Source organism: Homo sapiens, chromosome 6 (assembly GCF_000001405.40).
Source record: "Homo sapiens chromosome 6, GRCh38.p14 Primary Assembly".
Classification (NCBI taxonomy): Eukaryota; Metazoa; Chordata; class Mammalia; order Primates; family Hominidae; genus Homo; species Homo sapiens.
This window is the reverse complement of record NC_000006.12, coordinates 3,718,341-3,731,663: the sequence shown is the minus strand read 5'-3', so window position 1 is coordinate 3,731,663 and position 13,323 is coordinate 3,718,341. Positions and strand designations below refer to the sequence as shown.

The window sequence follows — 13,323 nt, the reverse complement described above, 5'->3', positions numbered from 1 at the left end:
TCCTGGATTGGGGCCCCCACGGAAAAGAGGAACGTTGGTGGAAAGACTGTTGAAATTCAAGTGAAGGAGGTCTTTCATTTAGTTAACAGAATTGTGCCAATGTCAGTTTCCATGGAAGAGCAGGGCTGCTTTCATTTGGAAAAATATGAGTGTAAAAAAATAGCTTGAAAGTCAACTATTTCATGGAATCAGTCATGTATGTGATTAAAATGGCTACATTGGTCAAAGATTCTTGCTATAGATACTAAGCTGACTTCTAAGACATTCACACTGTATGTTTGAAGAGAGGCTCAGATGCTATAATTTTTCTTGAATGACAGCATTTTCTTCCGTTCTTTTTTATTTACATCATAACAGATCTGAGGACATTACTAACAATGATCATAATAGCTGTGAGGAAATGCGGACCTCAGCCTTGATACGGCTGTTTGGACTCATCAATTTCAGCCACAAAATCTGATTATTTAGGTTTAGGGGGCCTGGAAATAGAACACTGTTTTTCATTAATCTGGCTTCTGTATAATGTCAACCTTATTTTTACTAAATAGGGGTAGCCCAGTTAGGCAATTAATAAAAGGGCACTGAATGATCATGATAGATCACTCAGGACTCTTTATTGAGCCCTCAGTATTTGCTAGATTCTTTACATACATCATCTCAAGTTAGTCTGCACAATGGCCTTTGGAATGGATACCTTTATTTCCATTGTACAGATGAAGAAACTGAGCAAGAAGTAACCTGCTCTCCAGGCATAAGTAGCAGAGCCTTCCCCAGCTGCAGTCTGCATGCTTTCCTACCTGCTCGTGCCTCCTGAGGAGCCAGCATTCCACACTGAGACACGCCATGCTTGCTAGTGCTCTGGCCGAAGGCACATGGCAAGTTATCAGTGGATTTTGTTACAAGTCAGGCTCCCTGGTCCCGTAGCAATGAATCTCAATGCAGCCTTTTGCCTGAAGGTACAAGTTCATGGTCTATACCATCGTCTTGTGAAAACTGACCTGGGAGGTCAACTCCCATGTAAATATCTGCTGTCCGTGGTTGAAACGGGGCACAGGCTACAGGCTTAGCAAGAAGATCTCCTTAAACCAGTGGTCCCTACAATTAGAGGCTTGCTACAGCTAAATGTTTTTTCTTCTTTTTTTTTTTTTAAACTGTGGACGTGTTCTAATTTCTACAGCTTTTCTTAGGACTTGTTTGTTAAAGTGACCAAGTAAATAAAAATGTAAACTGTTAGAGAATCTGTGCTCCATTTTCACCTGGCACAGGCGTATAAAAGCTGTGCACACTTCCCTAGGTTTTAAGACAATTTGCTTTTCAATAAACCATCCCTTTCTGAACCCGTGTTGGGAATAAATGTTCCAGAGGTTGCTGCACACCTGCCAGCTGTGTAGCCTGCTGGCTTGCCCCTAGGTTTTTCGAGGTTCTGGGGCTGACAGCAGAGGTGGGATCCAGGAGGGAACCGGAGCTTCTCAGGGACCATCTTTAGTGAAATGTGAGAGTCTAAGCGAAGTCCCTCTCTGGGCCGGGCCTGAGACAGCAAGGTCCATGCAGGAGGCACCAGACATACCTTAGTGTCCTTCAGGGCCCAGCCAGCCTTGCAAATAATTAAACCACATGTATGTGCATGAGGCTCCTTGTCACAGGCAATTAAGGAAGGATTGCTTACAAATCTATTTTTTGGGGGACTGGTAATGACTCCGTTTTATAGAGCTCCAAATTTCACATTTAAGAAAGATTAGGCATGTAAAGTAACTCTTCAGAATTTTATTCAGAAGTGATTTGCAGCAGTGACATTTGTTTTAACTTGTAGGCCACCACCCAACCAAGTTCCCTTTGCAAAAGGGGTGGGAGAAAGGGGGATGGGGCTGTCAGCTGGCTGTATGGAGGTTGCTCTGAGGTTTTATGTGCTTCCCAAGAAAGACAGATTTGGGTCAGAGTTAATAAAAACAATAAAGGCAGTGGTTCTGTGCTGCCACCCATTTTAGATAGAGAGGCGAGGGAATCTTAGTTTATCTTGTTAGGATATGGCAGTTTTCACAGTCCGCCTGTTCAGCGAGGCTTTGGTAAGCATCTTCTTTCGCCCCTTTTACACCTGGAAGTGTGGCTGACCCCAGACTTTGGGCACTGATTCCTCTTTGCTTCGCAGAGCTCCTTCTCAGGACCTGCAGCCCTACCAGGTGGTACAGGGAGGAGGGCAGGGAAGAGCTGAGGACTGATGTCCCCAGGAAACACCAGTGGCCCTTCTCCAGAAAGGCAGGTGGAATTTTAGCAATGACCTGATGAATCTGACTGATGAATCGACATTTTGATCCTATGGGGGGCGAGGAGGAAATCTGTTTCTCTTTCCTCATTTTTGTGTAATTTCCCTAATTCTCTTCGTATGGAAAGCAGTTCAAAGAACTGAGAACCAAATATGTAGAAAGATTAAACAGAAAGTGACTATTTCAGTTACCAAAGAAAGCAAATCCATACACGGGAATGAACCAGGCTAAATTGTGGTAAGGTGTAAGAAAAAATAAAGGAAAACAGTCCCCCAAGCAACTAAGGCATCCGATGGGGCAGTGAGCGATGTTCCTGTTGGGTGTGGTGTGCCAGGGGAGAGGGAGGGCTGTTAGGAGCTGTGTCCTGAATGGGAAGAAGATAATCCCTTGGATTTGAGAAGGCACCAGGAATTTGGAGTATATTTTAGGCATGACTTTTATGATGGGGTGCATAGAGGTTCTGAGTCGAAAGAACAGATGAAGGTGGTCCTGGTCTTAGAGCTGTGGTTAGGAGATGAGCAGGCTCACGGGCAGCTGGAGGACTTTAGCTCCAAGAACTGGCCATGGCTACCAGATCTCATCTGCTGAGCGAGGGGACGGAAACGCGGTCCCTCAGAAAATACAAACGAACGCTGCAGCTTTTTATACCTAGATGGACCAGATGGCATGATGCGATCCAGGAGTTCATGGGATTTCAGAGTGAGAAGGATCCTCAGAGATTAATACAACTTTGAAATTTTTCATTGGAGGAAACTGAGTCCCAAGGCCATGGAGCTCGTTGTCCTGGCTCCTCATCCTCCATTCCAGCCCCTCCAGCCAAGGACGAGCGCAGACTTCCACCCTCTAGCTCATGCCATGCAGCCAGTATGGACGTAGGAAGTCGTTTTTCTTTGCTGGCTTTTCTAAATTACCCGAATCTGTGCTTATTTGGGAAAAAAATCATTTACATACAGAATTACATAAAGCGAAACAGTGAAAGTCACCCTTTGGTTTAAAATGCACACTGAGAAGTAACTCAGGAATGGGCAACCAATATTGTATATTCTCACTTAGAAGTGGGAGCTAAGCTATGAGGATGCGAAGGCATAAGAATGATATCATGGACTTTGGGTTCGTGGGGTGAGGGATAAAAGACTACTTACTGGGTATAGTGTACCCTGCTTGGGTGATGGATCCACCAAAATCTCAGAAATCACCGCTAAAGAACTTATCCGTGTAACCAAGACCCACCTGTAACCCCAAAACTATTGAAATAAGAATAAAATGCACACTGATTTCATTCAGTCAGAACAACAACCCAGGGCAGTCAATATTGTTACTCATGTCTCAGCCACAGTGAGAGCTCAGCAAGGAGAGGTACCCTGGGCAGAGCCACATGTCACTGTGCCATAGCTCTGCTCTCACACGCAGACTCACAGATTTGAGCCCAGTACTCCTTCTTTGTACTCCAGCTTGAAGCCCACAGCGAAGGGCATATGGAGAGCGTACTCAGGCAGCAGAGCATCTTTGTCTTGGGAGAGACACACAGCAGGCCTGGCTCCTGCGGGGATTGACCTCTTCCCTGACTTTGTGCGGCAGAGCTCTGAATGGGTCTCGGGTGCACGGCATTCTCTTACGGTGTGGAAGAGAGGCACGGGCAACAGGTGGAGGAGAAAGCAGGGAGATGGGAGTAAGTTCCAAACTCCAAAACCTCAAGCTCCGACCCCTCCTGAGGACTCACCTTGTTGCTTTGGTTTTCAGAAATCATGAGGTCCAATGGATTTTGTTTAGCAAATACCGAAACAATAGTTATTGACCACAGTATACCAAATGGAAGAGACCAGCAGCTGGGCGTGGACCCAACAGAGCATTTGTAAGTATGCTGATTTGAATATCGTTTCATAGACTGTCCTGAGCCATTTGCCTTGTGGGATGGGGGCTCACTGTTCTTATGGAAGGAAGTGGGTGCCCAGAGCCACCCAGCAGTTCCTACCTGCATTTGGACACTGATTTTAGAAGTTTGCCTTTCCTAGAGTCTGGTGAGATCTTGATGAGTGAATCTGTGGAAGATGGAGTTGCTGGCTCTGAGGGGCATTTAGGAGACGTTGCAGGGCTAGGGGCCTGGTTCGTGTGGGGCCCTGAGGGGTGTGATGCTGTCTCCAGGGCCAGGAGGGCCACATGCCTCACACTCAATGGTCCTGATTCCCTGAGATGGGGACATGTTTGCCTCAAGGCTGCCTGGCCCTGTGCTGAAGGTGTAGGATGTATCTGATTACTGAGGCTGGACAGCCAAAGCCACCACTGTCTTCTCCGCTCTTTCTGTCTCTGATTTGACTGTAACACATGCTCTAGAGAGCCCGGCACTGGGGTCGGCAGCATCTTCAGCCTTGGCTCTCCTCCAGGCATCTTCTTGGTGAATTCTGGGGGCACCAGGGTCCCCAGACAGCTTGGCCTCTGTTTCCTGACACAGCCAAATCCAGACTGCTCCTTGGCTGTATGAGCTCAGAAAGTTATTTAACCTTTCCTGACTTCTCTTACCTTCACGGGACCATTCTGCTGTCCCACCACGGGTTGTGTTGAAGACCACAGATGGTGAGTGTAAAACATCCCGCTTGAGAGTCCCACAGAGGCAGCTCTGGATGCAGAGTCTCCCTGTGGGCCCAGGAATGACATAGCCTGGGGATGGCCCGGGTCTTGCCCCACGCATTTGCTAGCCCTCCATAGCAGCAGATTGAAACTAGAGCCGGCCACATGTGCCGAGGCCCACATCCGGGCCTGTGGGCGGCAGGGCTGTGACCCCAGCGTGAACCTGGGCCCCAGCCGGCGGCCTGGGCCTCCTCTGCTGAATCCCTGCTCCATGACTGAGCATGGGGGGGTCCCTGTCAGGCTTGTGGGACTGGCTCCTGCTAACAGACCCCGTCTTTACCAGTGTGTCTCCCGGGTAGATGGTGCGAGAATCCTTCCCAGTAGAGGGGTCATGAGCTGCTGGTGGCAGAGGCTGTGCCGGTGGGGCCAAGGCCGCAGCTTTCCTGACCTGCCTTGCCCTTTTGTGTCCCTTGCCCTGACCCCACTGTACATAGCTCATTCACTCATTACCTATGGGTCCCCCATGCCAACAGGCTGGCACCGTGGAGGTACAAGGCTGGAGTGTAGTCATGGATGAAAGAAAGAGGCCCTTTAGCTTGGCAGGGGTAGTTACTGGCCAGGCACTGTCTTGGGGAGAAGACAGATGGAGACCCTTCCTCATCACCAGTTGTGCAGGCTCTGAGTCTGCAGTGTTTGCAAGGGGACCCCTTTCTATATCCAAGAGGCCCTTGGCACCCTGGAATGAGGCCAGATTTAGGAGGCAGGTTCAACTGTGAGCAGGCTGGAGCTGAGGAGAAACACACGGAGGGAAGAAAGCCGGGCCAGAGGTGTGGCTCTTGCAGCTGCCCGGGACTGACTGCATGTGCACAGGAGTGACAGGTCTTGAATAGGCGGCCACCTGCTCCGGGATGCCTGGCTCACAGAGAGGGCCGAGAAAATCTCCATGACCCCAGAAAAGCCTAACAAAGAAACGCCTGCCGCCATGGGGCTCGGGAGCATCTGGAGGGAGTTCCGACTTGGGCTTGCCGGGCCTTTCTCTGGCTCCTCAATCTCGGGCAGTGCAGTGGAGTCGATGGTCCAGCTCCAGTGTCTCACAGGGACGATCTGTTTCTACACGGCACCGGCTGTCGGGTGGGGGGTTGACAGCGACCAAGAGCACAGACACCCTTTGTGGAACTGGAGGCTTCACCTCCCTGCGTGGCTGTCCTCCCTGGCACCCGAGGCTGATTGTCTGGCCCGAGCCTGTGAGCCCAGTGCCGCCGGGCCCACAGCAGGGCCCCCACAGCAGAGTCTCAGCAGGCTGCCCCGAGTCTGGCCCCAGGGGCAAGTGGGCACCAGTGCCAGGGCCCAGAGACCCACCTGCACTCAGGGAATGGATGTATCTGATAGAGATGGGGCCAGTGGGGACTTCTGGGGCTCTGCAGGTGACAGTCTCAGCTGGCGAAGGGATTGCCTGGCTTCTGGGAGGTCATCCAGGGCCGAGGCACTGGGCGGTTCTGTGGGGACCTCAGGGAGCCTTAGCCCCATGACTCATTTTCCCTGAGCATCCCGGTCCCCCTCCCTCCTCATGTCCTCAGGGTCATCCTGTGATCTGGGCAGGGAGGACGGGCAGGTGGTGGGACACTGTTTGAGGTGGCGCTGTGGCTCTGTCCCTCGACTGGCTTGAACCTTTCGGCACGCCCAAGGTTCCCCCTTGGGTTTCCATCCAGCCCTGGTCTGGGGAAGAGATTTCATTCCCTGGATGAAGTTGGAGAGCTGCTCTGTCTCCGTGAGCCCCCCATAGCTTTCCCACCCACAGCTAGGGCTCTTTGTGCCGCGGCCTCTGTCCCAGCCTCGTGTTGCCAGGACCGTGAGCATAGGGAAGCCGAGGCGGGGGCTGACACCACACTCCAGGCCTGGCCATGGAGTCAGAGGGGAGGCCTTCCTCTGCAGCCTCAGCCTTTCTTATCCAAATGCCTTAAAGCTGTCTTCACAGCCCTGTCCCTTGAGGTCAGCGGGATTCGCACGATGTACTAGGTTTGTGGGGGACATATGCTCGCCCTGCCTTGTTGTGTGTCCGGCCAGGGGCCTGGACTGTGCAGTCATCTTGGTCATGGCAAAGCTTTCCAGAGATGGCTGAGTTCCCACAGTTGTCCACGGGCCAGGGCCACCTTCAGTCACTGGGGGCGGCACAGGAGGCAGCCCCGAGGTGGCTCCCAGGAGGGCGGGGCAGCTGCTTGCCTCTGTCCACACTCCCACGCGGCCTGCTGGGTTTGGGCTGATTCATAGGTGGAGGAAAATCCCACGAGCCGTACAGCTCTGTCCCCCTTCCTGGGGAGAATGTCCTTCTTGTGCTTTTCTCTGTTACGCATTTTTAAAGACCTGGAGTCTCTTTTCTTAACGTAGGAAGTCTGCCTGGGCTGCAGAGGGAGTAGAAACAGTTCCAGTGTGTGGGGAGTCAGTATCGCGGGCTTTTACGTCCCCTTATGTTTGGGGTTTGTATTCTTCCCTAGTTCTCCACACCCCATGTAAGTCCCCCATGTTCGGATGCTTCTCATCTGCCAGAGCGCGAATGAAACACGTACCCACATGCAGGCTTCCCCGCTAGAAGGTGTCTCCCCCCGTGACCTCCACGGGCCTCGCCGGCTCTTCTCCAGCCTCCTGTTCCCTCGCAGCCTCCTGTGCGTCCGTGTGTCATCTCTGCTGCGGTCAGGCTGTGAGCTCGTGACCACTCCTCTCTCAGCTGTCCCCAGGGCCCAGCACGAGGCAGGCGCCTCTTCCCTGAGGACAGACCCTGCCTGCCTTGTTCACTGCTGATCCCACAGCCTGACGCGGTGCTGGGCACAGAACAAGAGGTGAAAATCAGCACTCCATGAATGAAGGAATGGATGAAGGCCTCGCTAAGGGTTGTCTAAGCAAATGCAGACAGCAGTCTCCAAGGCAGTGGAAACCAGAAGCTCTGGCAGTCTCAGAGCAGGAGCCAGCTCACCAGTTCATTTGTAGCCGTGGTTTTTTTGCACACTTACTAGCGGGCATTGAAAGTCATGCTCATGGTCCCGGCGGGTGTTTGGTGTTGATCCCAACAATGAGCCACCCCTCACCTCTGGTTTCTCTAATTTCAGATTTGAGAATGGCAGTGAGTTTCCCTCAGAGCTGGAGGACGGGGACGACCCAGCAGCCTACGTCACCAACCTGTCATATTACCACCTGGTCCCCTTCGAGACAGACATTTGGGACTGAACCTCTCTATCAGGCCTCCCCCGCCTCAGCTGTTCACTGCCAGCTCTGATGCTGTCCACTGTGCTGGCCCCCATGGTCACAGCTGCTGCCCCAGCTCTGGAACTCCCAGACGTCCCAGGCCCCACTGACGCCAGGAGGCCTGGGTGTCCTGCAAGTGGAGCAGCAGGGGCTCCTAGTGGGCCAGGCTGACCGCAGAGTCTCCAGCAAGCTGAGGTCACAGCCGGAGGCCACAGGGCCTGTGTTCTGAGGGTCTTCACTCCCTGCTTGGTGCCCACAGGGCTGCGCACTGCCAGGGCAGGGACAGTTCCTGTGGGGCTCGCTCTCACTGCTACTGCTTCCTGGGAGGTGCATCCCTCTTGGTGAAGTGGCCTAGTGCCCCCCAGCCACCCTGACTCCCCACCATTCCCTCCCACGGCAAACGCACAAAACGTCTTGAGGGAGATTTTGACAAGTCACCCATTCCAGGTGCCACAGGCAGGGGATGTTTAGTAATCCAGGATTTCTCTGAGAACTGGGATATGTGGCCTTTTTTTTTTTCTTTTTATCTTTTATCTGGAAACTGGGTTTGGGTCAACCCCAGGAGTATTTGCAGAAGGCCCAGCACAGTGGGGGGTATTGGCTGCAGGGCAGGGAAGGCATTGCCGACTAGATAACCGTGTGAGCTTGGACTGAGCGTTGGTGGTTCTTCCCAAAGGAAAGGAATTTCTTCCCGGCCTGCCAGGTCTCTGGGCCTTCAGCGCGGGTCCTGGTGCTGCGGCCACACCACCCTGGGGTGCTCATTGACAGAGCTGCCATAATGAACTTGAAAGGACGGGAATCACGAGGGAAGCTGGGGCTCCCCTGCCCACAGGAGAGGATCCCCGTTCTTCAAGCTTCTCTGCTCAGTGTCTACTAACGACCGACATTTGCTAATGTAAATAATAGTAAATTATTGAGAATTCTAATTCTTTTACACAGTCTGTTTTTAATCTATTTTAATTAAATAAAATCTATGACTCTACTTTGATCTGTCCAGGATGTTTGTGTATAAAGGCGTGGTTCTTTCTGTCCCCTGCCTTGGGACAGGGTGGAAACTAAAACTGACTCCTGGGGCCTGGTCCCTCCCCCTCTTCCTGTCACATTCCGTGAGTGACAAAGTGTGTTATGTTCTTACCCTAGGGAAGTGGTCTGCCCAGATTGAAAAATGGACACACTGCTTGTTTTATTTTGGAGGGAGACGGGGGTTGACTTAGGCTTTTTTCTTTTCCTCCATTTTTCTTTTTGGCAGCCACAGGAATTCTCTTTGATGACCCAGCTGCAAAGCACATGGACTTTCCTTTGGTTTTGCATTTCCCTCTGCCTTCCAGCTGTGTTGTTTAAAGCATCTCAATTTCAAATAGGCTAGTAGGTGGCTCACTCCGGGGTTGACCGGTTGCCTTTCTTTTCTTGACACATCAAATTCAGTTCTGTGCAAGGATGAGGCTTCCTGCTTAGTAGCTAAGATTAGAAGTGATCAGCATGTTCAATTAATGCCCATCTGACTTTCAAGGATTGATTCACGGATTCGTCTCATCCGTTTCACAGAGGTGCTTCTCCCCAGCCATTCGGTCACTGTGATGCAGCTTCCTTGGCCACCTCCTTGCTCAGGCTGTGTTCCTCTGTCAAGACTCAAATTTGGCTCCCCAACCTCATCCCCTGCTCAGCCTTCACTGAAGAAGTTTTACTGTTACTAGTCCGTGCGCAATGAGGTCTTGCCAGTAGGGGTGAGATGTTTGGACATCTGTTGTCCTATTAAGCACATCAGAGCATTCTCTGGCTTCCTTTTTTTTTTTTCTGGAAAAACATAGGTCTCATAAGTTCATTTTTTATATTCCCACACTTGAAAGAGCCATAAGTACAAATAAATGTTTCTTTAGGTGCAAAGATATATGCTTACTGGCACTCAGCATCACTGTTGGAAGCAGTATGGAGTGGTGGCAGCTATGGCAAACAGGAGCACTCAGACGCTGCATCAAGGGAGCAGCTACCACTGCTCAGTTTAGCTGGTTGTTTTGCCTGCAAGTATGGGCCCAGTATGGCCAGATCTCCTAGTTTTTCAATAAAAGCTAGAAATCTGACTCTTCTTTGTGAAATATCCCAATTTTGAGGTGTTGACAATAAATAAATAAAAATAAACAAAAATATATTAGAAACTTGACCAAGTGAAAGAATTGTGAATTGTCAGCCTCTAAACTGTCATTTCAGAAAATCGATACCAGAGCAGTTGAGGTTCATGTGTGAATTTTCACTCTTGCCCGCACATTCCTCCAGGTGAGAGGTGACAGCGTGCTGGCAGTCCTCACAGCCCTCGCTCGCTCTCGGCGCCTCCTCTGCCTGGGCTCCCACTTTGGCGGCACTTGAGGAGCCCTTCGGCCCGCCGCTGCACTGTGGGAGCCCCTTTCTGGGCTGGCCAAGGCTGGAGCCCACTCCCTCAGCTTGCAGGGAGGTGTGGAGGGAGAGGCACGAGCGGGAACCAGGGCTGCGTGTGGCGCTTGCTGGCCAGCTGGAGTTCCGGGTGGGCCTGGGCTTGGCGGGCCCCGCACTGGGAGCAGCCGGCCAGCCCTGCTGGCCCCGGGCAATGAGGGACTTAGCACCCGGGCTAGTGGCTGCGGAGGGTGTACTGGGTCCCCCACTAGTACCAGCCCATCGGTGCTGTGCTCGATTTCTCACCGAGCCTTAGCAGCCTTCCCGCAGGGCAGGGCTCGGGACCTGCAGCCCGCCATGCCTGAGCCTCCCACCCACTCCATGGGCTCCTGTGCCGCCCGAGCCTCCCCGACGAGCACCACCCCCTGCTCCACGGCGCCCAGTCCCATCGACCACCCAAGGGCTGAGGAATGTGAGCACACGCGCAGGACTGGCAAGCAGCTCCACCTGCAGCCCCAGTGTGGGATCCACTAGGTGAAGCCAGCTGGGCTCCTGAGTCTGGTGGGGATGTGGAGAGTCTTTATATCTAGCTCAGGGATTGTAAACACACCAATCAGCACCCTGTGTCTAGCTCAAGGTTTGTGAGTGCACCAATCGACACTCTGTATCTAGCTGCTCTGGTGGGGCCTTGGAGAACCTTTATGTCTAGCTCAGGGATTGTAAATACACCAATCAGCACCCTGTGTTTAGCTCAAGGTTTGTGAGTGCACCAATCAACACTCTGTATCTAGCTGCTCTGGTGGGGACATGAAGAACCTTTATGTCTAGCTCAGGGATTGTAAATACACCAATCAGCACTCTGTATCTAGCTCAAGGTTTGTAAACACACCAATCAGCACCCTGTGTTTAGCTCAAGGTTTGTGAATGCACCAATTAACACTCTATATCTAGCTGCTCTGGTGGGGCCTTGGAGAACTTGTGTGGTGAAACTCTGTGTCTAACTAATCTGATGGGGACATGGAGAACCTTTGTATCTAGCTCAGGGATTGTAAACGCACCAATCAGCGCCCTGACAAAACAGACCACTTGGCTCTACCAATCAGCAGGATGTGGGTGGGGCCAGATAAGAGAATAAAAGCAGGCTGCCCGAGCCAGCATTGACAACTCGCGGGGATTGTTTTCCACACCGTGGAAGCTTTGTTCTTTTCGTTTTTTGCAATAAATCTTGTTGCTGCTCGCTTTTTGGGTCCACATTGCTTTTATGAGCTGTACCACTCACCGTGAAGATCTGCAGCTTCACTTCAGAGCCTAGCGAGACCACAAGCTCACTGAGAGGAACAAACAACTCCAGACGCGCTGTCTTAAGAGCTATAACACTCACCGCGAAGGTGTGCAGTTTCACTCCTGAGCTAGTGAGACTACGAAGCCACTGGAACGAAGAAACTCCAACCACGTTTGAACATCAGAAGGGGCAGACTCCAGACGCTTCATCTTAAGAGCTGTAACACTCACTGTGAAGGTCTGCAGCTTCACTCCTGAGCCAGCGAGACCACGAACCGATCTGAACATCAGAAGGGACAGACTCCAGATGCCCCACCTTAAGAGCTGTAATACTCACTGCAAGGGTCTGCAGCTTCATTCTTGAAGTCAGACCAAGAACCCAGCAATTCCCAACACACAGGGACCAGCTTCTTTCCTAACTCACTTAGGCTCTTCGTGCTGCTCTGGCAACTAACACCCTTGGCTGCAGGGGCTTGGACACTACCCTTAGTCACTGACAATTGTGTGAAGGCTGCTGTCGTTAACTTCACTTGATCACCTTAGGCTCCTGTGAAGTGGTGAGCAATTCAAACAAATTCCTGTCGTCAAATCATGTAAGTCACCTAAGTTTTCCTATTTAAAAAGCGCTTTCAGCATGCACTATTTATGGGCTGAGGAATCATTCCTTCTTTGTTTTGTTACAAATGCTCATTTTCATGTATGAGGCCTTCCTAAAGTGAAAAATGCACAGTGTAAACATTGCCTAGTCCCGCCTGTGGTGATTCCTGCAGAATTGACACTCCCCAGCACTTCCCTTGTGGGGAGGCACACGAGCATAAGCTACCTGGTAATGGAGCTGACTGTGGGCTCCTTCATAAGCATACAGTTCTCGTGGCTGTGACATTTATTAATAGAAGTATACCTGGGGGTGTTGGCAGCCAAACTGCCCTGAGCAATGTGTCCTAACCTTCACTAGTTTCTCCTGTTGGGGATAGAACATATTCTTGGGTTTCATTTTAGAAGCATTCTGTCAAATTACAAGCCTTTTTATTGCAACTAAAATTTCTGTCCTGTGTTCTCTGTGCCTTCTGCAGACCAATATTCTCCTCTAGGCCCAAGGACTTAAAATGCAGACTGTATTATTTTTCAGCATGTCAAGGCCAACAGATGAGGAGGTGGCTGCCATTGAAAAGATAGTTTGCTATACAGGCAGATCCCAAGTCGAGGGGGCACATATGCCCTGGGGAGCCATGTGAGAAGTACCAGGGTAGGTCAGGAGGCAGAAGGAGCAGGGGAAGGCATAGCAAGTGTCTTTATTGTGGTTTCTGTGCGGAGGAGATAGGGAGCCAGACTAAGCAGTTTCAAAGATTGGTCAGTTTGATAATTTCAGCAGGCTCCGCGGACTAGGGGCTGTCCCTAGTTGTCTTGTACCTGGTCCTGGGGTGATTAGGGTAGATGGATGGTGGCCCAGAGTATGAAAGCCAGTAAGGGTGGTTGGATGTGGGCTCATGGATGGATTGGTGTGCATGTGTCAAGCAAACTAGCAGACGAGTCCTTTATCATCTCTAGGAACTGGCTAATTCCTAGGACAGTCCAAGGTCAGCATGACCCCATAATGTCAAAGCATCAAATACAG

At 51.3% G+C, this 13,323-nt stretch overlaps 1 protein-coding gene and 1 long non-coding RNA gene across 14 annotated transcripts in view, besides 1 other annotated feature; both read left to right on the top strand.

Annotated features, from left to right (window-relative positions):
* Positions 1 to 9,045, top strand: part of PXDC1 (PX domain containing 1) — a 29,095-nt gene extending 20,050 nt beyond the window's left edge. For all 3 annotated transcript variants that reach the window (NM_183373.4, XM_011514393.4, XM_047418376.1), the window contains 2 exons: positions 4,002 to 4,113; positions 7,928 to 9,045. In NM_183373.4, coding sequence (NP_899229.2) covers positions 4,002 to 4,113; positions 7,928 to 8,045 — 230 coding nt within the window. In that variant the 3' untranslated portion in view covers positions 8,046 to 9,045. The remainder of the gene's footprint in view (positions 1 to 4,001; positions 4,114 to 7,927) is intronic.
* Positions 7,151 to 7,689: an enhancer, noted in NCBI's record as "H3K4me1 hESC enhancer chr6:3724209-3724747 (GRCh37/hg19 assembly coordinates)". NCBI's record gives its function as "activates a minimal SCP1, AML or CMV promoter by ChIP-STARR-seq in naive H9 embryonic stem cells {active_cell/tissue: H9 hESC(naive)}" and the evidence as "EXISTENCE:reporter gene assay evidence [ECO:0000049][PMID:30033119]".
* A 2,541-nt stretch (positions 9,046 to 11,586) lies between the features above and the next one.
* Positions 11,587 to 13,323, top strand: part of LOC100507336 (uncharacterized) — a 126,588-nt gene continuing 124,851 nt past the window's right edge. For 10 of the 11 annotated variants that reach the window (NR_187644.1, NR_187647.1, NR_187642.1 and 7 more), the window contains exon 1: positions 11,587 to 12,301. This is a non-coding gene — a long non-coding RNA (uncharacterized LOC100507336). The remainder of the gene's footprint in view (positions 12,302 to 13,323) is intronic. The other variant, NR_187641.1, reaches the window with a different exon arrangement.